The following is a 27,986-nucleotide window of genomic DNA, read 5'->3' as shown; positions in this document are numbered from 1 at the left end:
ATGTGCTTTTGATGTCCCATTTCTCTTAAACTTCAGAGAATGAGAGATATAGGGCTAAAATTCACAGGGTTGATGGTGGCGGGGAGCTGACAGGAAGTTGAATTCTTCAGCTCCTTTAAGGAAGAGCAAAGGAGAACAAGCAGCTGATTTTGATTTAGGAAAGGGGGCAGAATAATAGTTTTGGGGCAAAAATCTTTTACTCCTGGATGCAAACTGATAAAGAAAAAATGGCTTTTCCTTTGTGATTGCTTTTTCCATTTATTCACTCATACATAACATGCTCATTGTGAGTAAAGTTCTGTAATCAACTAGGGGAGTAGGAAGAGGAGAAATCTGGCCCCCAAAGATGAAAAAAAGATTTCCATTAAGATGACTTCTCTGGGCAGTGGAATGCATTTGGAATTATTAGATCACAATTCAAACTGGAAATCTGAAACTTGATCTTTTTCATAGAGACGAAATGTTGGAGGGCCCATGGCCTCTCAAGAATGGGCAAAGCCAGAGTGCAGCGAACTTAGGACACCAGGTTCTAGAATTAGCTCTTCCATAAACGATGTCTGGCCTTGGGCAACTGAGTTTGTCTCTACGGGCTTCAGCTTCCTCCCTGCACCAAAGGTTTCTTCCAACGTGCACAGACAGCAGTATGTACAGTGGCTATCTTAAGTCTGACTGCTGCTTTGAAAATCTCACTTTACGTCCCCTGCTATGTTTGGTTACGTGATTTTTCTGTGCTTCCCTTTTCCTACCCTAAAATGGGGATGATAATGGTGTATGTCTACGTTGTCATGAGGGTATCTTGAGGGTGGAACATAGAGAACAGCACTGTGGCTGGCAATGGCAAGTCCGCACCCCATGCTCTCTGTTACTACTGTTAATTTCTTAAGGCTCCAATGGCCCCCTTGCTATGGGCTGAAGTGTGTCCCCCTAAAATCCATGTTGAAGTTCAAATCCCCAGTATCTCAGAATGTGACTGTATTTGGAAACAAGGTCTTTTAAGGAGGTGATTAAATTAAAATGAGGCTCTTAGGGTGGGTGCTGATCCAACCTGACTGGTGTTCTTACAGAAAAGGAAATAGGGAGATAGACAGCTATATGGAGAATCAGCAAGAGGGTGGCCATCTGCAAGCCAAGGACAGAGGCCCCAGAGGAAGCCGACCCTGCTGACTCCTTCTAGACTTCTTCTGGCTTGCAGAACTGTGAGAGAATAAATGTCTGTTGTTTAATCCCCCAGGCTCTGGGATTTTGCTATGGCAGCCAGCAGATGAATACACCCTTCTCCCCCTTCTGTTAATAATCTTCTCCATGATACAGGACTGAAATGATCTAAATGTTTTTGAGACAGTAGGAAACACATCTATATCTAAGAACAGAACTTTAATATTCTTCCCCTCTAGCATTCAAATTCTACAGACTCCTGAAAAGGGGTTGGGGAGAGAATAGATGAGATTGAACACACAGGGCTTCATTTCTTGACAAAAATAATAAAGAATTCCAGAGCCGCCGTGCAATGCAGCCAAGGCAAACGAGCCTGTTTACTGTCCTCTCGAATGTTTGAAAGGACCTTCAAATAATAAACACTTTGGGGGCCCTGTCCTACGTTTGGCTAGAAAGGTTTCGGGAAGATGATGCCCCCTGAATAGTCTGTGATGTGGAATGACCAATTGCCTGAAGTCTGAGGTGTTCCAGCCACTGCTGGTCAGACCACGATGAAGCAGGGCAGACCCTGAACACGTCTCAGAAGCCCCAGGCAGCCAGCCCAGCATGAGCCACACAGAACCCCAGAAAGGGGCGTGAGGATGTTCTCCTGGGAGAGGTGGCCACAGGGGCAAGAGCTCAAAGGGTAGCCTCCTACCCCCATGCCTTTTTCTGTCCCCTTCAAAACTCTTCCACAGTGTCAGGAAGGAAGGAAGTTAGATTTGGGAGAGCTTTAAAAACTGTCTTATTCAAAATTCAGGCCAGGCGCAGTGGCTCATGCCTGTAATCCCAGCACTTTGGGAAGTCGAGGAAGGCGGATCACCTGAGGTCAGGAGTTCAAGACCCGCCTGGCCAACATAGTGAAACTCCGCCTCCATTTAAAATATAAAAATTAGTCAGGGTGGCGGGTGCCTGAGGTCCCAGCTACTCGGGAGGCTGAGGCAGGAGAATCCCTTGAACTCGGGAGGCGGAGATTGCGGTGAGCCGGGATCATGCCACTGCACTCCAGCCTGGGTGACAGAGCAAGACTCTGTCTCAGTAAATAAATAAATAAAATAAAATAAAATAAAATAAAATAAAATAAAACGAAATTCACTGTGAAATGTTTGTGGTAAGAAACTGAATCCTTCAGAAAGAGCGGAGATTATACAGAGACTCCAAGGCCCACTAGGAGAGCCATCAACAGCCCAGCCTTGTGAATGTATCTCTTGCAACTGCATAGCTTGGATTCACGAAGAACTTTGCAAGGATGGAAGGCGTATGGGGCACCATGAAAGCTATTTTATATACATACTGAGGGAAGGGAAGTTACTTGCTCTTTGGAAATCACTGCCATTTATTTGTTATGTGGAGAATCCCTAAAATAAAAGCGCAAAAATGTTGATGAAAGATGATTTACATAAATATTTCATTGCATGCTCTTGTAATTCTGTGGGAAAACATCCATCCAAACCTCACCTCCCAGACAGGTCACACAGAGACTCAAGATATAATTTATATGAATGGATTTAAAGAGGCCCATTCAAAAAGGACAATTTTTTTTTTTTTTTTTTTGCTATTTGGGTAAAAAAATTAAAAAAAAAAGCACGCAAATATCATTACACGCAAAGTTTTATATTGATTTTTTCCCTATAAATACATTTAACCTATCAATTCTACGCCTAGAATTCTATCTTCCAGACACACCTGCACATGGACCAAATGATACACATGTGAGGGTATCTCCCGCAGCGCTGTATATATCAGTGAACAAACTGATCCCAGCCCGATGTCCCTGCACAGTGCACGAGTTAATCACTAAGGCACACGCACACATGAAGTATTACACATCTAAAAAAATGAAGCAGGTCTCTAGGTACTGGAATGGGGTCAAGGGATAAAAGCCAGGAGCAAAACATGCCACCACTCATGTCAGCAAAAGGAGGGAGAAATGCTTATCTATTCACTTATTTACATATGCCTAACAAACATTGGAAGCACAAGCTAGAGGTGAATAAAAATGGTTATGTGTACCTGGCACGTGGGGTTGTGGGAACAAGACTTCTCAGTTTATACCGCTTCATGTCTTGTTTTCTGAACCATGTAAAATACCTAAACATAACTTGTAAGTCTTAAAATTTTTCTTTCTCTTATTTAGAAAAAAGTTCTCCATATGGGTGGGGTGTGTGAACGTGTATGTAAAAGTGTTGTGCCTATGTGCATTTTCTGGCATAGGTACCAGAGCTCCCATAAGATTTGTTCAGGGACACAGGACAAAGACTTCCAAGGCCTGCTGCTTCTAAATTAGCCAGAACAATTTAAGGCATTTTCCCTTCTCTTTGCATTTTCAGCTCAGCTATCAGGATGTGTAAAACATTCTGTGCATGGGAAAGTCAGCCCAAGGAGTACAATATAATCACAAAATCTCATCTCACGCTTCTCTGAACAGAGAAAGGAACATAAGGCAAGAGCCAAGCCACACTCGGGTCTGTCTGGCACACACTTCTCATCAGCGCCTGGCTGCTGTGTTATCAGGTGCCCTCAGAGCCATGAGCTGCTAAACACTATCAGAAAACAAGTTTAGACCCACCCTGCGGAATTATATGATTGTTCCCCTCCAGGAACGCCACTTACTCATTTTCAAGACACTTAATGAAAAACAGCAAGCTGGACTTTTAAACCATCTCTTACCCAACACATCATCTCTCTGTAATTTTTCACAGCTTCTGCAAATGCTAACTAGAGTGAACAAATTTAAAAGGGAACCCCGTTTGTGTACTAAGTAGCAAAGTCTGATGTCTAGGAAATGTCAGAAAGGAGGCAGTAAAGGAAGTCCAGTCTCCAGAGAGTGAGAGGCAGGAGAGGACGTGGCGGCCTGGTACCTGTGTGGCCCTGCTTGGCCCATGAGTCACCCCCTCAGGGCCCGTCTCATTTTTCCCACGAGCTCCTCGCTGATTTTACTGCTTTCCCTAAACACTAGGTCATGGCCATTTAAAGCAAGTGTGGGAAGACCGTTTCTCATTGTTTATGACTCTGCTATATATATAATTTTGTGATGATCTAATATGGATAGTGTCAATACCTGCTCGTGGATTTTTCCTGTTTTAATAAACACTTTAATGTAAAGTTGGAACACGAAAATACCTCAAACATGAAGCACTCAACAGAGTAATGGCCCACTTGTGTGGCTCCATAATTATACGCTATGTAGAAAACACTCCTTAATCACAGGTCTCAGACTGATCTCTCAGTCTTGGCTGCACGGTGCTCAGGAAAGGGACAGCGTCTTTGTTTTAAAATTCTTGGTGTAACTCCATGTTCTTTGGTCTTTCTTCCCACAGGAATTGACATTAGCAGCTGTTCAAACAGAATACAACTGCTCTTTTCCAAGCTAATTAAAAAAAAACCTGTATATAGATTTCTCAGTATATTATTTTTAAGAATGTGTGGGCAGAAAAGGGTTTGAAATATCTAGGCATTAATGTGCTTGGGGTGTGTTTTCTGATAACAGTGGCAATTTGGCATGAATCAAATGTCTAAATATACCTGAATCACGATATTTTCGACTAAACTTTTTAATGTCACTAAACTCTTAATACCCTACATTTTTGGAAGACTTATTAGGTCACGGAAATGTTATAAGCAGTTTCAGTCTCATATGACTCTGAGGAGACTCAGATTCACCTTTGCGGCAGATCCTTTCATGATCCGGGAAAGACCACATTTGGGGTGAACAAATTTAAACCAAGTCCTCTGAAAAACACCTGGAGAAATGCTAGAGGCCTCAGAAGGGCAAGCTCCGGGTTTGGTCACAGAGGCTTCTGCAAAGGTAGAGAAGAACCTTGGTCTCTGCAAAGCTGGAGTTTTTGGGTGGTGAGGCGACAGGGACTTTCTCTGCTCAGTGTGTGGCTGGCTCTTGTGTTGGTGGCTATATGTGTTGTTGCTCAAGAAGGTGGGTCTGTGGCATGAATCCAACTCAAGTCAGAGTAGGCACCAAAAAGGCACCCAGGCTCGGCTTCCCTGGCTCAGCCTGGACCATCGGCAGGTCATTTCAGACTACATGACCCCCACCAAAGAACTGGCTGACATGGGACCTCTCCATCCTGACGTGACTGCCCCGGTGAGAATCCAGGACAAGGCCGCGGCCCTGTGGGTAGAGGTGAGGCTCCCCTCCAAGGAGGGCATCCCTCTGTCAACTGCCCTGGGTGGGCCAGTGAAGGGCTTCTCTGTCCTGGCACCTTGGAAAGTGGTTGGAGGGGTGAGGTCGTTTCTGGTAACTGGTTGTATTCTGAGCAGGGAAACAGCACCGGCGTATCCCCCGTGCTGGGGTTGGCTGGGAACACGAGCAGTGAGGCTTGGGCTGGGGGTTCCTGAGAGTGGACACACCTGGCAACCTGGAGTCTTCTCTTCCATCATCTGCAAACTCTGTGAATGTCTCATCTGTGCCATGGGGGGTGAAGGGGACATAGGAGCTAAGGGGAGAGACCTGGCCTCCTCCAATCTGCACAGGGGGAAGGATGGTGGTGGGGCCACTGGCCAACAGGCTAAGCCGTGACCTCACCAGGCGAGATGTTTAGATGAGGAGCTGCAGAAAGGGGTGGGGTGAGGAGGCAGTCCTGGAGGGAGGACAACAGGGGCACATAGGCACGGTCATCTGGGTGTTGATGGAAACACACCCTGGCTTTGCAGTCACACAGTGCTTACCCCAGTGGTCACCTGTTAGAATGTGATGTAGATGAAGCTCCCAACCTCCAGGCATAGGGCCTGGCACATTCATTCATTCATTTAAAGAAGTGACAAGTGATTCTGAGGAGTAACCCTGGTAAAAAAGCTGTGTACATTTCTAGGAACTCTGAGTAACGGTCCCAGCAAATAAATAAATCTATATAAAGTGCATACCTTTAAAGTTACGAAACAAACAAAAAAAACCCAGAACTCGACAACAAGATTACAAATGAACTGCACTCACTTCCCCATGACCGTCTGTGCTGAGAGTCTCCCACTGAGCAGTTCTGCCATGTTTACAGGGCTCAGTTTAAAGCTCCCCCCGCAACCCCCTGCTGAAGGCCCATCTCCTCCGCTTCTTGCTGGCTCTCAGTGCCGGCCATCTGCGGAGACTCGCTGCTTTCTCTACCGAGCCTACGGTTTAAAACACCTGTGTTGTCTGCAGTTCCTCTATCCCATTTTTAAGTTCAACAGTGTATCTGCAATCATCATTCCTGTTACAATCTGTTTAAGGTGCTTTCAGTGAGTTCCTGGACAGTTCCTTGTGGGTCTTCAGCGTTCCTTGGAGTTCATCTAACTGGACTTTTCAGCTGACCTGATGGGAGCCTCTGTGTGGAAATACTTGCTAACTAGACCAAGATTTATTCTGCTCTCTCCTCCCTTCCATGAGCTCACTGAATACATTTATTTTTCCCATGAGGATTTGTATTTGTATTTGATGAAATGAGACGGGGACTATTAGGTAGGGGTGAGTGAGAGGGAAAAAAGCCCCTATGTTACCTGATGTACAGCTCCAAGAGAAGGTGTATAGGTGTGCGTGTGTGTGCACATGTGTGTGTACATGTGCGTCTATGAGACGAAAGGTCTTGTTGGACATGTGAGGAAGCTGAATTTTATTCTCTGACCAAGAGAAAGTCGCCAAAGAAATTTAAGCAAGAGAGTATGGTAACATTTATGTTTTAGGTGAAACGAAAAAGGGCAAGAAGTGAGGTCAGGTGATCAGGTGATAAGAGTAACGGTAGAAATGAAAAGAGAACATACTTGAAATATATTATTGAGATAAAGTTAACAAAACTGAGTGGGCAGCCTCAAAAAATTAAAAGTAGAACTACCATATGTCTTAGTCCATTCCTGCTGCTATAATAAAATACCTTAAACTGGATAACTTATAAAGCACAGAAATTTATTGCTGACAGTTTTCGAGGCTGGGAAGTCTGAGATCCAGGCGCTGGCAGAGTTAGTATTTAAAGAGGGCCTGCTCCTCAAAGACGGTGCCTTCTGTGCCCTCACATGGCGGAAGGACAAAAGGGCTCCCTGGGCCTCTTTTGTAAGGGTAGTAATCCCATTCTCAAGGGCTCTGCCCTCATGATCTAATTACCACCCAACAGTCCACCTCTTAATACCATCACATTGGCGGTTAGATTTCAACATACGGATTTTGGAAGGACGCAAACATTCAGACAACAGTACCATATGATCCATCAATTGCATTTCTGGGTATACACCCAGAAGGACTGAAAGGAGGGACTTGAAGAGATTACTTGTACATCCATGTTCATAGCAGCATTATTCACAAGAGTCAAAAGGCAGAAGCAACCCAAGTGCCCATCAGCAGATGAATGTTGAACTCAATGTGGCATCTGCATACAAGGGGATGCTATTCAGCCTTAAAAAGAAAGGAAATTCTGACAAAAGTCAGAACACGGAATCTTCTACAAGAAATAAACAGTCCCAAAAGGACAAGACTACATGACTTTCTACTCACATGAGGCACCTACAACAGTCAAACTCATGGAGACAGAAAGGAAAGGGGCAGTGCCAGGGGCTGGGAGGAGAGAGCGGAGGGTTTTGTTCCATGGGCACAGAGGTTCAGTTCTGTAAGACGGAAAAAAGAATTCTAGATGTGAATGGTAATGACGGCTGCATAACAATGTGAAGGTACTTAATGCCACTGATCTGTAGACTTAAGAATGGTTAAGATGATACATTTTGTTATGTGGAGTTTACCAGTTTTTAAAAACTGTGGTGGGCAGTGGAGAGACCCTCACGTGCGTTAGCCATGTTCTTGGGTGAACAAGTGGGGAGATGGTGGGAGAGGGAATCTGAATACTTCAGATTTGAAAAAGTTGCTAAGACAGTCAAGTGGAAAAGTAAACTATTCGGGTGGACAAGAAAACCCTTGGGAGAGAGCTTGGAGAGAAGCAAGGAGAGCTTGGAGAAAAGCAGGGTGGACCCACAGAAAAGTCAACATTTCGGACAGTTCCGAATGAAAATATGTCTCTTTCTCATTTTTAACTTGAGTTAGAAAAAAATGCCCCATTTGATTAATAGCAATCATGTATCACTACACTTACGAAAGACAGTCCCTGCGTCTTCTCTTAACTACTGCAGCCAGTCTGGTCAAGCCTGAGAGCTGATCTTGGTAGTGCCCACTGGAGTTGTGGTAAACTATGGGGGACTGTTTTTGGCACAGATTTTACCATAGTAAAACGTAGCATCCTGAGTTAAAGCCCCTGGGTTTAGAGGCTCAAGTCACCCACAAGCAAAAGGTTTTATTTCTCATGTTTTTTTTCCCTTTAATTTTCTCATTCACTGCAGATGACTCATACTCTGAACTTCTTCGAAATAAAATGCAGGTACTGAACCATACTTTTTCTCTATCCAAAGGAGAAAAAACTTTAAAATTGTGAATGCCTTTTAGAGTGGTAAAGGTTAATTTTTATAAGTGGGTGTTTTCTTCTAGACATATTTGAAAGCACAAGCAAAAAGGCCACCTGTCATCACATGATGGGTTGGTGTAAGGAAACGGCAGTTTTGAATCGGCCTTTGCTCATAAAGCCTTCTAAGAACTCTGAACTCAGAATGTCAGAGCTGGCAAGACCCTGGGAGGCCTCCTGCGCCCGCCCCATCTCAGGCCTCCTGACAGGAAGAACGCATCCTCCAAGCTCACCACTCACTCCTCCCTTGCCACCAAAAGGTCTCTTCTTAAAGCCCATTTCATTTTATTTATTTATTTATTTTTTAGAGATGAGGTCTCACTCTGTTGTCCAGGCTGGAGTGCAGTGGTTTGATCATAGCTCACTGTAGTCTCAAACTCCTGGTTAAAGCCTTATTTCAGCAAAAAAAAAAAAAAAAAAAAAAATTCCATGGGGTCTGAGAGGGGCCTTCCAGATTCAACTTCGAATGGCAAAGGCTCTGGGCAGCAGTAGTGCGGGACACAGGCCCTGGGGTGGTTTTCCAGATGTCCTGAGTGGGGAGGGTGACGGAAGGCCCTCCCCAGGACAGGGTATGAACTCCTGTCCCACCCTCAAAACACTATCAGTCAAAAAGATTCATGCCAGGCACTCCAGAAATGCATCCGGCAGAGAGTGAGAGACGCTCATTTGCCCAGGTTTGTGACAACACTATTTTGCTTTTTCCTGGCTACTTTTCCTTCCGATCACACTGGAGCTAAATCCCCAGGGACCATTGTGTAGGGCGACTCTTGGTTGGGAAGAAAGGGAAAAGGTGAAAAAAGCAGGGCAGCGTAGGGCAAAGAGGATGTTTTGAACTGGCCTCACTGGAAATATACACATTCTTGACATTTCTGTTTACTTCCTGTGACCAAGACTGTCAATAAATACATAAAAGTGACAAGTTTTACAAGTTGAGACAATGGGAAGGAAAGAGAACTTGGATTTACTGAGCCATCAACAATGGTGACGTGACACCGATTTCAACAGTGAGCCCACGTACTACACACTCGAGTGGAAGAGAGTGAAGGGAGGTGAGTGGGCCTCAGCCCAGAATGCAGAAGAGACTCGCTGGGGGCACAGACACAGCCTCCAGGCCTAGGCCCCAGCCCCAGAGCCTCTGAGGTAACGGCAGACAGCATAAACGACAAACACAAATAAGACTGCTGGAGCACAAGGGTTTGCTGAACCCTTATTCAATCCTGCTATGCCCGGCGTCTGTTTAATTCATGACCAAGATGCTGAGACGGAGGAAGGACAGCCAGAGCAAGAGCAGAAGGCGCCATCAGACACGAAGGCTGGCCGGCCCAAAGGACACCGGGACATGCAAGCTTCCAAAGCAAACTTCGTCCACAAAACAGATGGCATTTTTTAAAGAGACTGGGTCTTGCTATGATACCCAGGCTGGTTTTAAAATGCTGGCCTCAAGCGATCCTCCCACCTCAGCCTCTTGAGCAGCTGTGATGACAGGTGTGTGCCACCGCACCTGGCCACAAGATAGCATTTCTCAATGGAATGATGTTCACAGCAGAGTCTTGTTTCAGACACAAAATTATCTCCTTGAAAAACAAATTGTGTAATTGAATTTCTTGTTCATTTAAAATAAGCTGTATTTTTATCCTCTCCCAAATCATTTTAAGGATATATAGCCGATAAAAGAAATCTGGTCTTCATAAATTCCATGGATTCTCAGTGTCCGACAGACTTCCAAGTCTAGCCCAGCTTCAAAACCACCACGTGAACCTGAGCACGGCTCATCATGATCCTGGACCCTTCTTGGCTGATCTGAGTAATTAGACTCATTGCAATCCTTAAAACAGCTTATTATTCGCAAGCAAATAAATAGTCATTTGACCTTAATAGGCATGTTTTTTACATTTGACATAAAAATGTGAAAGTTGGATCAGGGTGTTATGAAAAAATTACTGAGGCACTGAGGTTGTGAAAATGTAGAGACACTAGAACTGAATGAAGGTGCTCCTTCCTCCTGCCTAGAAGGTCAGAGCAGTAAGAGTCAGAGACATATAAGAAACTAACTTTAATAGCAAGCAACAAGAGGCAAATCTGTAAAGCCAGTTCCATACCGTCCCTGAGTTCTGAAGCGAGGGTGAGGCAAGGCAGCCTGAACATCTGATACTGGAGGGGGTCTTACCCAGCTGCCAGAATGATGCATGCCATGGTGTGCAAAGAGGGGCCATGTTTAACTCGCTCGCTGCATATCCTTCAAGCCTGAACAGCTCTTATACTGAAAAGAGGCTCAAAAGGAGAGAGTGGACGGGCAGAGGCATGTGGATGGCTGGCATGGGCAGGCCGGCACATGCCAATGTCTTTCCAGTCGTGGGGGCAGCACCCCTCTTCACACACAGGGCAGGAGAAGGGGGAGGACTGTGGGGCTGAGCAGAGGCAAGCCTGGGTCTCTGCTTCCCAGGGGACAGAGGCCTCCTGCTCCTGCAGTTCCTATGTCTTTTGTTGGACTCCACGTCTAAATCCTCATCCCTTGTTGCCCGACTTTTTGATGATGGCCTCTGTCTCCTAGACAGAGATTCTGGTCAAGCTGCCTGGTTTCCTGGACGTGGACATGGTCAGGACCTCACCCACGCCCTACCGCTTCCTATCCTTGTGGTTGAAGACGCCCTCCGTTTCCATGTTACTTCTGACCCACACCTGCTGTCTGTTGCTGCGCAGCTCCTAACACTGCAAGGGAACAAACAATCTTTTTTTTTTTTTTTTTCAGATGGAGTCTTGCTCTGTTGCCCAGGCTGGAGTGCAATGGTGCGATCTCTGCTCCCTACAACCTCTGCCTCCTGGGTCCAAGCGATTTTCCTGCCTCAGCCTCTCGAGTAGCTGGGATTACAGGCGTCTGCCGCCACACCCAGCTAATTTTTCCTATTTTTAGTAGAGACGGGGTTTCACCATGTTGGTCAGGCTGGTCCGAACTTTTGACCTCAGGTAAGCCACCCACCTCAGCTTCCCAAAGTGCTGGGATTAGAGGCGTGAGTCACCGTGCCTGGCCAGGAACAATCTTATGAGTTTCCTTGCATTACAGGAAAAAATAAAATAAAATAAAATAAAATAAAATAAAATAAAATAAAATAAAATAAAATAAATAAATAAATAATTAAATAAGGGAAAAAAGAAAAAAATGGATACAGTTCTGAGCCCCTAACCACTGGCTGGCATAAGTTCACAGCAGGTCTTGCTCATTAAGAAACACCTTCTTGGTAAAAATAGGGCATTAGAGGGTTTGTGAGGGGCAGAGTGACTTTCCAGGTACAAGAATATCGGAGAGTATCATAGGGAAAAACAAAATGGTACAACGTAGCAACATTCAAAAACCCAACCTCCACCAGAAGTTTTCCGGACGAAGCCAAGTGTGATGAATGCCTAGTTCTTTCGCCTTGGCTAGCCTGCAATTGCAAACACCAGGAAGTAAGAACACACCACAGGAAAGGCACATGCGGAAGAAATCCTTCAGAACAAGTGTTATTTGAGGCATGCTTAAGTTCACCAGGGCCCCTCTGCAGAACAGACTAATTTCAGGAAAAGTTGTACTTTATTTTCAACTCAAATTCAAGGACTTATATTGATGCAACTGAATATACTGAATGCAAAGCATTCTGGCAACAGGCTAAAAGCCAGCATGGCTCAGATCTCTAAATGCAAAGACACCACGAGGGGAAGCCCACCGCTGTTCCAAATGCATGGGCAGCTTCACCAGAAATGGAAGTGGACACCTTTGGCTTTTGGCCAAAGTCTGAAAATCCTCTGCCTTTCTCTTCAGATTTCTGGAGAAACAACAGCCTAATTCTTCCTGTTTCTTACCGAAGTGACAGTAAACTCACATTTAGGTCCTGAGAAATCCGGAACATGGCTTGGCCTATAATTAATCAGGAGAACTACTCAGTAGCTGTTTTCTCTTGCAGCTTCATTAGCTCCCTGGAATGACTAACCCTCTGGAGCCAGGGGATGGCCTCCAGGAGGTATCATGACACACAGAAGAAGGCACAGATGATAAAGGAAGGAAGCAACTGGAATGTTCCAAAATCAGTGTTCTTCTCTAAACTGATGTCATATCTCACTACACCGCCCTGGAAGTGAGGAGATCACTCATTATTTCTGAGTCGTGGGTGAAATCCTCATTTCCTCTTCAGGTGCTGATGGACTGGAAATGCCCGGACAGTCAGTGACCATGTGCTGAAGGCACAGCTGACAAGGAAGCTCATGCACATTAACAGGCAGGAGAGGCGCGGAGACAGAGCGCTCCAGGGCCACTTCCAGTAGGGGTCTGCCACCCATGCCCCACTGATTCCTACCTTTGTGGTTGAAGATGCCCTCCATTTCCATGCTACTTCTGGAGTGGGCGATGCACAGTGAACCACAGGGGACCAGGCCTTCTGCCGCTGGGGAGCGGTCAGTTGTCCGCACCAGACACCAGTCAGGCTTGTCATGCGGCCGCTCCAGAACTTCCACGGTCTGGCCCCGTCGGATGGTCAGCTCGTTGCTGTTGCAAGCGGTGAAGTCATGGATCACCACTGTCAGCTCACAGCCACCAGAGAGCTGGGGGGAACAGAGGAAGAGAGGACAGGTCAGCCAGTGTGAGCCATGGTGCCTTCAGGTACAGCTGGGAAGTCCTCCAGGTGGGTTCCTGCCACCCTGCCCCGGAGTGAGCTGAGTGCTCCGAGGTTGTGTGATCACTGCACTCTCCGTATGAAAATATGATTTTTCATAAGAGCTTCCAAATTTCTTGAACCTGAGACATTCTATTTCCTTCCTCACAAAGTGGTATTATATATACACTCATTTTTTAACTTACAGCAGACTAAAAAAAACTCTGCTTGAAGGCTATCTGGGGGATTATCATGAAATATGGTGATAAAATGAGATAAAGTTCTGTTCCAAATTTCTGTTCTGACCCAGTGTTGGGCGTTCCATGCTTTGGAATATGTGGGCTCTTTAAGCATCCCTTGGGTCAGGAAAGAGGCAGCCACAAGAACGGGACTGAACAGGCAATGGGCTATGACCCTGAAACCGAAGCAAAGCACACCTGCCTCTCTTCAGAATCCTTCAAGCGCCTCCTCCTGCTTGTCCAGGGCTCCCCTTGGTGTGGCTCCTGAGGCCCTCTGCCCTCTGCCCTCAGATTCCTTCTAGGCTCCCCCACTTCAGGCCTCAACACGCAGCAGGCACCACAGGCTCTGCAGACATCGGCTCGTTTCCCAGAGGTCCTGGATTTTCTGGCCTTCTGTTCCTCCAGCCTGACGTTCCTTTCCCTCCTTCTCTCCTTTTACCATGCTCACTCTCACCTAGGCCTACTGAAACTCTTCCGGTCCTTCAAAGCTCATCCATAAACTCTCTAACAACACACACCCCATGGCCTCTGCCGGTAAAACAAGTGCATGGTCTTCTCATGACTGTCTGCTTCAGATGGCCTGAGCCCTGGTGTGTGTTCCCTTAGACAGTAAACTCCGTGGGGACAGGGCTCATGCGCTCATTAACATCCCTCCTACCTAAGAATCTTTTCATTGTTTTTTCTACATAAGAATCCCGAGAGCAGCTCCTGGTCTCTGGACTGTCCCAGGTTCTGTCTCTGCTGCTTCTCCACTGTCCCCCTGCAGGGACTCTTCAACCACACCCTCAAGCTGACTCCTCCCGAGCAAAGCAAGCATCCCAACTGCAGACTACTTTCGATCCCTGCTGGGCAACTGGATGCTTCCCTGTCCCCGCAATGCAGAGTCTGGGACATGACTCATCATGCCCTCCCACCCCCTAAATCTCTTTTTCTTCCGGTGTTGTCTTTTGGGTAACAGTATCACCATCAAGTCACTCAAGCTAAAAAACCCCACTCTTTTCCCTCCAAATGCTGTCGAGCAGATGTTGCGCGGCTCTCCGATCACTTCCTTTCTCTGCACTCCCATACCAATCACTTCACTGGGTCCCGCAGGGGCTCCTGAGCTTCCTCCCTCACAGACTCCAGGTTCTCCTTCCAAGCCATCTAAACACTGCTGGCAGGAGACCTTCTAAAAACACGTCATCCTCTTATGCAAAACCCTCACACACAAAGGCCTTAGCATAGGAGGCAAAGGTCCCCCCCAGTGGCCAGAAGCACCTCCCTCCTCCTCCTGAGGGGTCCTGCCTGTAAGTAGCCCATACCATCCCTCTTGCTGAAAGCCCCCACGTCCCCTCTATTCTAAGCTCCCCACTGGCTCCGAGAAGTCCCTCTCGTGCCTGTCCTCCATGGCACTTCAATTCTGAAGTGAGCCACAGCTGGAGTTACACGTGTGTGTGTCTGCCTTCATCACCAGAAGCAGGCTCACCCTACTCTTCTGTGAACTTTCCATCCCTGGACTGGGAGGGCGGAGATGGGGCTGGGCACAGTCACCCTGAGTCCCCCAGTGCCAGTGGTGGTAGGCATGTGACTTACAGAAGCTGTTAGGAGTGGGTCTCCTCCTCAGCCTGCCTCGCACTGTGCTCCGCATCCAGCTAGCATTCAAATATTTGTGAAATGAAAAAGAAAAGATACATATGCTCTAAAAATGAAGGCAATGCATTTGAAAACCCAAAACGAAGCCTGGATTTTCCTCACTGGCTTCAGGAGCTCACTCTGCCTGTGCTTAGCCTGCAGACGCTCAGCTCTCCCCTGTCACCTCTTGCTAAAGGGCAGTAGCCCAGACAAACTACAGGGACACAAGAGTGTGCTGCGGGCTATGGGGCTGGCTGTGGGAGTGAGAGAAGGGAGGAGGAAATGGCCCAGCCTCCTGCTGGGAAACATTCCTGTTGGGAGTCCACTGAGCACAAGCCCACACCCAGAGACCCAGGAGCCCGCACATCCTCCGATGGCTCACACTCCCGCTGTGTTCTGGGGCTGCCCCCTTGTGCTGAGGACCTCTGGGAGCCTCTGCCATGCTGTGTGCTGTTGATTATCCTCCTGTTGTAGGAGCCTATCTTTTAAGAGAAAGTTCAGATATTCAGAATAAGAAACACATGTCCACTAGACAACCACAAAGACCAAAACAAAACCAAACTCTTCTACCATGAAGCACAGTATCAACAAAGTGAATCAGCTTTGCTAGGCCACAAGGAAAATTTTCATAAATCCCCTTCTCAATCTTACAAACTTCTCCGTGGAAAACCCATGTTAAATTTTTCAGGTCTCTGAACAGTCAAAGATGCTAATGTTAAAAGCTCAAAGGCAGAGGCCCAGCCTGGAAAAGAACTCTCCTTGTAGAACCACACTCATGGAGTGGTTAGTCCCGTGACTTAGAGCTGGGGTGCTTCCTGTTCCGGGAACACAGGACCGGTCTGCAGGCCCCGAAGGAGGGTACAGATTGCCATGGCCCCTTGGACCTGCCCTTCCCAGGCCTCTGGGTCTGGCTAGAGCTCCCCAGTGATGCCACCCGCTGCTTCACTGAGCGCACGTGAGAAGCTCCCAGCAGAAACCCACTGGGCTTCCCTGACATTCTTCTAGCAGCCCCCACTCCCAGACGCTGGGAAGTGCACTGTCTCATCACCTGCCCTCTGGCTGCCTCATTCTCCAGAGTCTTATTAATTTTCCAGACGGCTCAAAGCCATGGGCTGCGGGTGGGGGAAGGGTGGGAAGGGGAGAGAGGGGCTGCCGAAGAAGGAGGATTAAGCTAGACTTTATTTCTGGCACTGATTTTTTAGGCCCTTAAAGAGTAATCAAAAACTATTGGAAACATCTGTGTACTTGACAGCACATAAGAAATAAAAATCAAGGATGTTCTGCCAAAGAATCATATACAAAGTTAAAATTCCTTTTTAAAGGCTTTTAAGAACTTGTTAAGAAAATCCAACAACAGAATATTTCAAAGGGCACTACAATTATTTTAAAAATCTTCCCATCTCCCAGCAAATCAACTGGCTTTACCCAAAAAGAGAGGCCCCATAGGGGAGGATTAAATGGGTGTTTTCTAGCCCAGAGAAGAGCTGTCCTGGGGATGCACCTCAATGCTCACATTTGAATATTTTTAACTTCTTGCTGCAAAACATCTTTGAAACCAGGTTTGCTAATTAAAAAAAAAAAACTTTTCTGTGTACAAAAGACTTGTGATAACTATTTTGAGGAAGCAGTGCAAATCGTTACTGCTTTTTAAGAAAAATTAAATTCCGAACTAGAAAACATTCAGCCACTATCTCGTATGTTACGTCTGACGGAGGTCTTGGCTTTCAGAGAATTTCTACCCTCAGTTGAAAGAGTTACCATTTTATTTATCTAGTTTAAAAATTCCCTTTTCTTTCTAACCATATTTTGTGCAAGTTCTCACAGTATCTTCGTTGCTTCTATATATTTAATGGGTTTCTATCATGGGCTCCCACCTCATGCATTGAATTTAGGATTGCAATTTGTGAAAATCTCACTTTCCATGACTCACATTAACACTTGCGAGATTCATATCAGAAGACAGATTTTTTTAAACCTTTCAACTTTTCACTATTAAAAAAATGAATGTGGTGACTAACAAGCAAGACAACAAAACAGCCTTAATTGGACCAGGGGCCAGGGACCCACCACCAATGTGCCTCCTCCAAAGACTACACCCAAGTCCCTCTTTAGGCCCAGACATATGGACAATTGGCAAAATCAAATCGGTTCCTTTCCTGAATTCTTTCCAAAATGACTGAAAATAAACAACTTACTGTGTTTCACCCGAGAGAATGAAATACTCATCTCTGGTTGCAAGCATGTGAACCTTCAACAATTACCACATAGAACAGAATTCTACTTTTCATGTTCTCCAAAGAAACCATGTCATATCACTGTCTTGCACGAACGCAGTTAATGGCTGTAACTAACAAGAGCTGTGGCTGGGGACTTCTCACACTGCGAGTTGTCACGTCTTCCTTTGTTCCTCAGAACACCCCCGCCCTGGACACAACAATGAGGCATGTATGGCTCAAGAACATATGGCTCTCGATAGACGGCGGCAATACCTGGTTTGAATTACCAAGCTCTGCGATGAGTTCTGGGGCAAGCTCTGCCTGAGGAAGAGGGGGCTCTCTCGGACTGGTGTGGTGGGTGATGCAGTCAGTCTTCGCTGCAAACAATTCTACTTCAAGAACAAGAGTCTAATGTGGTAAAGATCAATTGCAGGTGGGTTCTGACCAATTTTCTGAGAGCAATTCAAAAGCAAAAGGAGAATGTGGCCTAATAAAAGCCATTTTCCCCTAAAGAACAAAGTGTATTAACTCCCGTGAACCGTCACAGCCTACAGCCCACTACAGTTCAGTCATTCAGAAACCTCACAAAAGGGTCTTGCGGTTCCGTGAAGGTTTCACACAGAGTAGGCCAAAAAATGATTACTTGGTTAAAGGGAATTAGAGAGTACAGTGCTATTGCTAGCAATGGTTACAAAAAAGGGTAACTATAGGCAGCCAGAACAATTTCCCTAATCAATGCTATTATGCCCCAGGCTCTCACCCACCCAAGCTTCTCCACAGGGCAACTTCACGGAGACTCGGGCTGATCAGCAGCTGTTCTAACGTGAACAACAGGCCCTCCGTGCTCACGCCAACACCCAAGCTGCTTTACATAAGGTCAAATTCCAAGAAGAAGCGTTCACTAAAATCTGCCACTTAGAGTTTAAAAGAGGAGGACTATTGTGATAGGCTCCGATACACTAGGGGTACAGAAAGAAACCTGTGAGGACATAAAAATGGTGAAGACGGTAAACTTTACGTTACATTTTTTTTTTAACCACAATTAAAGAAAAAAAAATCGGTGAGAAAAAACGTTTTCAAAACCAGCAGCTTACCATACTCAACACTGTATCTGGAAAAGAAGGAGTGAGGACAGTGTTTGAGGATGCCAGTCCCTCTACTGTCTACTCACATGCTCACACACTGCTTTTCTGATGTGAAGATTGATCTCGGAAGACTTGAGTGTGTTGTCATACACATGAATTGGAATGAAATACTGGATGAAAAACGGCTGCATTTAAAAGATACAACTAAAAAGGGTAGGCAAACCAGAGACGTGGCAGCTCCCTCGCATTAGGCTTCAAGGGTTCACAGAGGCTCACCTGGACCAACATTGTACTCTTGCTTTTAGCATATCCCAGTGAGAAATGCCGGAGGTGCCGTGCAGGCCCCACAGGCGGCCCTGTGGCGTGGCAGGTAAACGCTTTCTGGCTATGAAGTGGAAAAGGGAACGAGGGCGGGGAAGAGGCAAACAGTTGAAAAACACCTGCCTCACGTAGTGCACTCCCCTAGGCTCTGGAAAGCAAGAAACTTCTTAGGACCATTTAACCCAAAGAAACCTGTTGGCTGTATTTCCTGAGTGACCAAAGCAATCTTTTATTGAGGAAGCTTAATTTGAAATACCTCTTTTTGTCTTTCATGGAGGGACAATGATCTGAGATCTAACGTTAACTAGCTGACCTCAACCAGCTTATGTTAACTAGCTGACTGGGCCCTCACCAGGAAGAGCAATCAGAATAAATACCTGCTTCGAGTCTGAAACATAACTTTATCACCATCTCCAACTGTAACTTCGATCATGTTGTGTAAAATTTACACTAAATAGCACTTTTCAGTGCTCTACTATTTTACAAACACTTAATTTGTAACATTTCTAACCAAACTTAAAAAAAATCTGTCTTTTCTTAGAACTGAGGCTTTCTACTTCTGCCTGGGGGATTTTGTTTTTCTGATTTGGTAACTGAAATGATCAAAGATGACATTCAGTTTGTGGTTTTATGAGAGAACTTAAAAAACTCATCTAAAAAAATATACAAAAAGCCACATCACTTAGAAAAACAGAAAACAAAGATGAGTAAAAGAAGGAAGCAGACGTCACACGGAACCCATCACTCAGAGCTCGCCAGGGGAGCGGGGCTCTGTCTCCTTCATTCATTCTTGTGCGCTGAATGCCTATCATAGGGATGGCACACAGTGGGTGGCCAATACATATCTGAGAATAAATGAACCCACCCTTTGAATATTAGGTCACTGGATACGCATGCAGCTAGGATGAAAGACGGAACAGCTGGAAAGGTGCTTTACGCAAGACTCTCCCCCTTCTGCAGTAATTGTGCCCATTCCACACACAGAATTTTGCAGTTGAGCCACCACAATTCATCAGGCCAGGCACTGAAGTAAAACATTTCATTCTTAGGACAGCTTCCAGATCCTAACAAGTACAATACAATCAACAGCTAAATCCACTGTAGCCCCAAGAGTGTGCAGATGAAGGAAGGGGAGGCTGAAATTGACAGTAACCTGCAACAGCAGCAATGCCGGCCAATAGCCCGAGTGAGGCAGGAGGAAGCCATCTGTATAACGGAGACACAGAAACTGAATATTTATTCAGTGCTTAGAACATGCTAGTCACTGATCTAAATATATGTGAGCAGTACTATCATTCCCATTTACAGATGAGGAAACTGAGGTTCAGAGAGGTGAGGTGACTTGCCCAAGACCACCAGCTGCTGAGGCAGAGGCCAGAGGTTTGCTGGTGGGTACATCCTCGCTTTTGATTGCCTGCTCTTAGGTGTGTTGTATATGCTATGCCACTGCCAGGTACACTCTGAGCAGAGGAAGGTCAACTGCGGTTGGGAGTGCTCTTTATAAAGGACGTTAAAATAAGCACCATCCTGTGGAAAAGGCTTCTGAATTAAATGACTCAATTTCATGCTTACATGGGGCAAACTTATCTGAGGTCCTGGGAAACTCAGAGCCCTGAGCTGGCCAGGAGGCAGAGAGCATCCTCTCTGAGCAGCTCCAGCCAGAGGGAAGGGTGTAGGACACCTCTGTGCCTGGCCGAGCAGCCCTACGCCTTCCATGTGGTGAATAGAGGCAGAACGCAGGACTGCAGGACAACCTCGGGAGGCTGAATGCAAGCATCATTAGATAGATATACACCCTTACCCAAGATGGTGAATTAGGCCATATTTCAAAATGTATTGGCATTAACTACTTTACATACTACCTCGACGCTGCAATTTATGTAAGTCAAACCAAGTTCCTGGAGTGTAGAACGTCACTTGACAGAAAGAGCTGATTGCTTTTCTAAATTTTAAAATACACGGAACCGTGGCCGGGCATGGTGGCTCACGCCTGTAATCCTAGCACTTTGGGAGGCCGAGGCAGGTGGATCACCTGGGGTCAGGAGTTCGAGACCAGCCTGGCCAACATGGCAAAACCCCATCTCTACTAAAAATACAGAAATTAGCTGGGTGTGGTGGTACTTGCCTATAATCTCAGCTACAAGAGGGGCTGAGGCAGGAGAATCACTTGAACCTGGGAGGCGGAGGTTGCAGTGAGCAAAGGTCATGCCACTGTACTCCAGCCTGGGAGACAGAGCAAGACTCCATCTCAAAAAAAAAAAAAAGAAAGAAAGAAAGAAAAAAAACAACACATAGAACCTCATGTCTCCAACACGGTGCTAAGGCTTCATTAAGAATAACTGAAACTGGCTGGATGCAGTGGGGCTCAGGACAATAATCCCAGCGTTTTGAGAGGCTGAGGTGGGAGGATTGCTTGAGGTCAGGAGTTTGAGGCCAGCCTGGGAAACACAGTTCGATACTGTCTCTACAAAAATAAAAAAAAAACTAGCCAGGCATAGTAGTGTACACTTATGGTCCTAGCTACCTGGGGGGCCAGGCAAGGATCACTTGAGCCTAGGAGTTCAAGACTACAGTGAGCTCTGATCACACCACTGCACTCCAGCCTGGGCGACAAAGTGAGATCCTGCCTCAGGAATTTTAAAAAAAGAGTGACTGAAACCAGTTATGTTTTTAAATATGTGAATCCATATATTCATGTTATAAGCTTGGGAAGGGGGTTCCACATGAAGTTATCAGTCTCAACTGAATTTCTCACTCATTAGAAATAAGAAACATACGGCTTAAGATTCGAAAGACAGCTCACACCTGGGCCCTGCTGGCTCGGGCCGGCTTTTCCACAGGATACCTCATCTCGCCTCGGCCATTTTTCCATGTTGGCCTCAAGATGCTTTGTTCTACAATACAGTTTGAGTTCCATGTTTTCTATTTTCTTTGTAATATGGATTTTAGTTTAATGATTATAAATCACAGACTAATAAGGAAGAGACAGGGAAAAAATTTTTAAAGATGTGTCTTTAGTAAAAATACTGAGCTCCAAATTCAGCTCTTGCATGAAATAATAAGGCCTGGAAAATGACAGATGATTAAATGCATGTTCCGTGTCTGGCTGTGGCCCTCTGCTGCTGGGAGGCCTTGCAGAGGGCCTGGATCTCCTGCAGTGCCCCAGGCCCGGCTCAGCGCTCTCCTCCCTACCGCAGGGAGATGCACTCAGGACAGATGAGATAAGAATCTGGAAAGCGCTTGATTTCTTTGGAATCCAAATTATATTTTCATAAGATCATTGTGTCAGGTTAAGTACCATGGAGATCAGCAAGGATCAGTACTAAATTCACTTCTGGAACAAAAAGAAGGCATATTTTAAAACTGATGTTTTCAAAGTAGGAAACGTGCTGCTGGGGCCTGTGGCTCATGGCCGTGGCCTGGCTAACCCCGCTCTGCTGACAGTGCTCCCTGGAAAGAGGGCGTCTCCAGGGTCCCTCCTTCAGACTCTCCCTAAACCTTGTGTGCCTCATCTGAGAATTACTAACAGCCCTAGCAGATAACTTTTGCCTTCAGAATTCTCCAAGAGGCCGAGTCAAAAACATCCCCCGACCCAGTTTCTGAAATGAAACCAAATTCCATGATAACAACTAACTAATAACAGACATCATAAATTAAGTCGAACAGGCAGAATGTCGTTAAGTGATTTCCCTTGCCAGATCCATCTGCCTGCGTTATCAGAGGCTGCTTAAACTTAAACTACGTAGGGCAGAAAGAACTTCGAGACTCAGGAAAATTACCGTCACCGGAGATGGGGTTGCTGGTTAAGCCTAGTTCAGAGGGACAGTGCATTTTGCAGACTGACTAGGGAAAGGATGGAGTCCTTGATTTTCAAAATGTGTTCTTGAGTCATCTAATGACCCTCAACTGTTCTACTGGAGAGGCATAAGGAGGGAGATGGCTAAGAGAAAACGTCACATAAGCAGAGCACACACAAACGCAGGCACACGTGGGCAGCAAACGTGCACCTTCTTGTTTGTAAGGCCGCATGGGTACGTCCTCTCCAAATTCCAAATTCTGACTTATTGGCAAGTCTCATACGCCGTTTAATCCCAAATGCAGGTCTCCAGAACGGAGTAAGACACCCGCTGTGGTTCTGTTCTCACGACACGACATTTCATCCTTTCTGTGCTTTAGAGCCTACTAAGGACCGATGCTCTCAGCAAGTGGCATTAAGAAAATTCGCCAGGTCTGTTTAAGAAACTGAGTCTGGAGTGTCATTCCTTCAAGATGGTTAACCATGAGAATACCAGGGTGAGTGTTGCTGCGTGGCAGGCTGCGGTCCTCAGTAAGAAAGAGCCTCCCAGGAGCGGGGCTGGAGAGGCAATGGTGGAACTGGCAGGAGAGACCCTTCAGGGATTTCTTTTTTTTTTTTTTTTTTTGAGATGGAGTCTCGCTCTGTCGCCCAGGTGGGAGTGCAGTGGCCTGATCTTGGCTCACTGCAAGCTCTGCCTCCCGGGTTCATGCCATTCTCCTGCCTCAGCCTCCCGAGTAGCTGGGACTTACAGGCACCCACCACCACGCTCGACTAATTTTTTACATTTTTAGTAGAGACGGGGTTTCACCATGTTAGCCAGGATGGTCTCGATCTCCTGACCTCGTGATCTGCCCGCCTTGGCCTCCCTAAGTGCTGGGATTACAGGCGTGAGCCACCGCGTGCTCAGCCGACCCTTCAGGGATTTCTGAGCTCAGGAGTGAAGTTTAGGGACAACACATCAGATGAGGTCAAGAGAAACTGGTGAATCATCTTCACAGATAGAGTATCTCATAGGGAGTTTTCTTAACATTTTCATACCCTAGTGGACTGCTAGGGTAAAATTTGCTTTTTTTTTTTTTTTGGCAAACCTATACTGTTCTGGTAGTGATTTATTCTTCCTCTTTCGTTGGATACAAATATAATTTGCTGTATTCCCAGTTCACGTAAGCCCTCCCTAATATGCTATAACAGATGTGAAGTCGTGCTAATTTCACTACTCCTAACTCCAGGATAGAGACTTATTTCTGTTCAAGCCGCTGGGGAATCCCAATCAGCCACGCGCCTTAGGGGCCAGGGCTGTGCTGGGGCTGAGAGGAGGTGGGTACCAGCCAAGGAATTCTCCACACGCAGGAGATAAGTCGTGGCACCAGCAACTCTGTCCGGAATAATGAACTGGAGACTCCAGAGCCCCTTCCTGGATAGAGGGGTCATTTCCAGACTCCCAGGCACCCATTTATCCATAAACTACCCGAGGAAACAAGTTATCCTTGCCTCTTAGACCAACTTCCAAAAAAGGAACCCTCCAAAGCTAACTTTTCCACTTAGCTCTTTAGCAATTTCATTCAAAAAATTTACTTTTTTTTTTTTAAAAAAAGAATAAACTTTTGAACTCATGTCTAGGGGAAATCCAGAGCAGACCCCTAGGAGTTTATCTTAAGAATGGGAATTTGGGGCTTGACGGTGATCTCAAATGGTCTGGAAATGCCCTGAATGCGGGCCACTTTCCCACACACTTGAGCACCCATGATTCAACTTTCCTTTCAGGTGGCAGCCTCATGGAAATTCACCAGATAATCCCCTTGATTACTTTATTAAAAAGTAAAATAAAATAAAAAATTTATCAATATTACTCTAACAAAGTGTTTCCAAGCTCAAACTTTATTTCTTTAACCTCAATGGCCATAGGTGGGGTCTCGGAGAGAAATGCTATCAGGCATCAGATGCCTGAACATGTCATTTATCTTATTTCTTTTTACTACATGCCAAGAAATATTTGCTGAATGCCAATACATAGGGCCTTGAACAAAATAAAATGAGAAATTCTTTTTATTCTCTGGTCTTGTCATTCTAACCACTCCAAGTCCTAGGATCTATTATTTAGTGAACCCAAAAAGTATAATGAGAAAAAAAATCTAATCACTTAAACTAGGATATTGAAAATGGAATCACTGCAGCAGAGCAGTATTTTAAATCTACTGACTCCCGTCCTTGAAACTAGAACATTAAGTATCATGAATCCTCCTACAAAACCAAGTGAGAAAAGGCCAGTCTGGGACTAAAAGATGTGCCACGGAAATAACCTTCCAAATACTGGACTCTGTCATCTGTCTGAATCAATTCCCAAGGACGGTGAGGTCAGGGCATTGTTCCTTCCTACCAATGAGTGGGCTGCGGAAATGATGTGCAGAGAACAGACTCCCGGGTCTCATGATGGGGACAAAGGTCTCATGAAATGAGGTCTGACTTGCATTGGAGAATGAGAAGCTCAGCAATTCTGGGCTCATAAATAAACCCCCTATTTACTGTCAATTTTTTTAAAAAGAATTCAGTCTAGCATTCTAGTAATGTAACAGAACACACTAGTCTTGGCAGGAACAGAAGACTTCATTAAGATCAATGTTCCCCACTGGCTGACAGAGAACATTTTGTCTTTTGTCCATCACGTAAACCCAGGATTCCAAATTCTACTAGCAATTTACTTTGTGGGATTTTTGGATTGTATCAGACAAAATCATGAGATACTCTAGGCTGCTTCTGAAGAAGATACACCTATACAAACTTTTTTGATAAAAATCAGATCTAGCTCACAGTGGTCATCACTGTTGCCAATTCCAGGGCAGGTTTTCTATGTTCTGCTGCACACTATGGTTATGAGAGGGCATCTCAGGGCCACAGCCCCCATTTCCATCAGAGCAGCTCCGCTTCTACACTGCCATGAGTTCTTACTATTTTACATTGCCTTGGCATCACTATGAACCCAGAGAAGCTGGACTTTCTCATAACAGGAGCATCTTCTCCCAGGCCTTCAGTGTGGTAGGTCCTGATCTCTGCTTCACAGAACTTCCTTCTGGTGACCATTTCTCTAAGGGATAGCCATATAAGACCTGCTTAACTGGCCCTGCTGACACTCGCACCTCATGTGGACTGTGCAGATATGCCAGAGTGACAACTTCCTAGTCACAGCATGACCTTCTGAAACTCGTGTCTGCTTGCTCTAAGCCCACTCATTGAGACGCCCTGTGCCAAACCTGTTTGGATAATGTCCTGGACACAATAAAGGGCCTGGCCCAAGGACTCCTCTCTCCCCACATGCTCCCTGTCCTCCAGGGATGCCGTGTGATCCCCAGAACCTGTAAGCAACACTCTTTATTTCCATCTTGTGTCCCTCCTAGTCGCTGGAAGGGTGCTGTCCATCTTAAAGATCCTAAATTAAAACATACGCTGGTGTTCTGTGTAGGATTTTATTTTAAATGATAGGTTCTTCTGCTTAGGAATAAGATTAAAAAGTCTAAGTATGCTGCCCTCGAATGTCCAGTAACACCCTTGGCACTGGCAAAGGGCAGGATGGAAAGAGTTGAATGATTTCTCCTGAATCCTCAGGGTTCAGGTCTTCTCACCCCAATCCCCCAAGTCTCTGCCCCACCACGGGATCCTGGCACCACTCCTGGCACGTATCAACTGCTTGAAAATGTTGATGACAAACTGTGAGTAACAGAAAGGAGGGGGCTGCTTTGACCAGAGACTGGCCACATTCCCCTCCGCACACAAAGTGCCGGCAGTGACTCACCTTATCGCTGTCCAGCGTGTTCTGAGACGTCCGTGAGGCGATGGAAATCGTATCAGGCTGGCTGCTGCCGTCTCCTTGGCTGTCCAGATCCTCTCCATCCCTGGCGGTGCAAAGAAACTTTTAGTTCCTGATGCTGCTGAGCTGGCAGTCACTGGAGAAGCAACTGATTTGTTTAATGAGGTGCATATCAGCCTTCGTGAGTGCCTGCTGCTGCCAGGATGCGGACAATGGTTAAGGCACCCTTCACCGAGCACAGGCTTTCTGCTAGGCACTGTGCTGAGTGTTTAAAACATATCATCCTGTTGGATTCCCATCACCATAAAATATAGTTGATATGATCGTTGCCATTTTAAAAATGAGAAAACAGCAACATCTCGATGCTTTATAACTTATCCAAGGTCATGTGCATGAGTTAGACATGTGCCCTGTATGGTGCTCGGGGTGAGAAAGGCAAAACAATGAGAGGTTTGCACACAGCCCTTCGTTTACTCTAAGCCAATAGAGGCTCTTATCTCTGACAAAGCAGTTTCATTACTAAGAATGATGTTATCCACAAATGGCAGTTTAAAAAATGTATTCCTCAAAATGTTTGAGAGAAAGGATTTTTGAAGCAGGGTGAGCTAACACCGCCTCGCCCCTCCCTCCCACATCCACAAACCTCCAGTGGCGCCCAGACACGCACCTCCTTCCCTTCTGTCTTGTGGCGGGAGCGGTCTTAGGGATGTGAATGGGCTCCTTCAGGGCTCCCTTCAGGTGGATCGTCCGCTCCTGGATGACTTCGCGGATATGCTTTATCCAGTCCTGCTTGTTCTCTATGCTGGAAGCCTTAACAAGGTGTTAGCGTTGCTTAGGATACGGAACGGCCCTTTCCAGACCTTGCCCTAACCACACCCAGGTTTCCTGCATTCCTTGAGTTTCTATTTTCAAAATGACTTTTTAGCAGAAAAGCAACCACATCCGACGTTTAATATGCTACCAAATAAATGACTATTTAAAAATACGTTTTCATCAAAACCTTTTTTGTTTTATAGCACGTATATTACTCCAGATCTCTGACTATTGCAATAATCCATCATTCTCCAGCCCCAAGACCTTTTAAGCAGCCCTGGGCAAATAAACCAACACAGCCACCCTCACTGCCACCAAAACGCCTCTGAGGCTATTGAGGCAAACACTGCGCACTGGTCAGTAGGGGGCATACTGCCAGCAGGAAACTGAACAAATCCCCACAGCCTTGCGGCCTCCTTTGCTGGACTCAGGGAACAGCGGCGCAGCTGCCACCACCTCCAGCCCCCTGTGCCTAGCCGAGGGCTTCTCGCATGCTGTCATCCACTCCCATAAGGACTCTGCGGGTGGGAGACTCCTGCAGCCCCGTCTTATAAATGAGCAACTGAGGTGTGGACAGAAGAAATGTGCCCAATGTTCCAAGCTCACCAACTGCCAATCCCCGATGGCAGATTCACCTTGACTCCATTACAACTCTCAAGAAATGTCCTCTGAGAACCACACAGACTAGATTGTCAGCAAGCACCTGCAGACTGAGCACGCACGACATCACTTGATCCAGACTTTTTTTTTTTTTTTAACTCTGCCTCAAAGGAGGTTTTTTTTTTCTTTCTGCATGTTCTGGGCCTTCCTAACAGCTTTCTAATTTCCTCACAGAAAATATCAATCTCCTATGATATAAGCATAAT

At 45.9% G+C, this 27,986-nt stretch overlaps 1 protein-coding gene across 11 annotated transcripts in view, besides 4 other annotated features; it reads right to left on the bottom strand.

Annotated features, from left to right (window-relative positions):
* TRIO (trio Rho guanine nucleotide exchange factor) overlaps positions 1-27,986 on the bottom strand; it is a 366,863-nt gene that overhangs the window by 77,240 nt on the left and 261,637 nt on the right. For all 11 annotated transcript variants that reach the window (NR_134469.2, XM_047417679.1, NM_007118.4 and 8 more), the window contains 3 exons: positions 26,975-27,117; positions 26,293-26,392; positions 12,944-13,187 (listed from right to left, as the gene is read on the bottom strand). Coding sequence is in view for 10 of the 11 variants with exons in the window: in XM_047417679.1 (XP_047273635.1) it covers positions 12,944-13,187; positions 26,293-26,392; positions 26,975-27,117 (487 nt within the window). In the remaining variant the exon portion in view is untranslated. The remainder of the gene's footprint in view (positions 1-12,943; positions 13,188-26,292; positions 26,393-26,974; positions 27,118-27,986) is intronic.
* Positions 14,981-15,527: an enhancer, noted in NCBI's record as "H3K27ac-H3K4me1 hESC enhancer chr5:14417547-14418093 (GRCh37/hg19 assembly coordinates)". NCBI's record gives its function as "activates a minimal SCP1, AML or CMV promoter by ChIP-STARR-seq in naive and primed H9 embryonic stem cells {active_cell/tissue: H9 hESC(naive and primed)}" and the evidence as "EXISTENCE:reporter gene assay evidence [ECO:0000049][PMID:30033119]".
* Positions 15,285-15,424: an enhancer, noted in NCBI's record as "active region_22400". NCBI's record gives its function as "activates an Ori minimal core promoter by ATAC-STARR-seq in GM12878 lymphoblastoid cells {active_cell/tissue: GM12878}" and the evidence as "EXISTENCE:reporter gene assay evidence [ECO:0000049][PMID:35858748]".
* Positions 18,186-18,255: a silencer, noted in NCBI's record as "silent region_15940". NCBI's record gives its function as "represses an Ori minimal core promoter by ATAC-STARR-seq in GM12878 lymphoblastoid cells {active_cell/tissue: GM12878}" and the evidence as "EXISTENCE:reporter gene assay evidence [ECO:0000049][PMID:35858748]".
* Positions 25,612-26,811: an enhancer, noted in NCBI's record as "P300/CBP strongly-dependent group 1 enhancer chr5:14406263-14407462 (GRCh37/hg19 assembly coordinates)". NCBI's record gives its function as "activates an origin of replication core promoter dependent on BRD2, BRD4, P300/CBP, MED14 and CDK7 cofactors, with strong dependence on P300/CBP, by STARR-seq in HCT116 cells {active_cell/tissue: HCT116}" and the evidence as "EXISTENCE:reporter gene assay evidence [ECO:0000049][PMID:35650434]".

The sequence above is a fragment of the Homo sapiens genome, chromosome 5 (genome assembly GCF_000001405.40).
Source record: "Homo sapiens chromosome 5, GRCh38.p14 Primary Assembly".
Lineage (NCBI taxonomy): Eukaryota > Metazoa > Chordata > Mammalia > Primates > Hominidae > Homo > Homo sapiens.
This window is presented reverse-complemented; position numbering and strand designations above follow the sequence as displayed.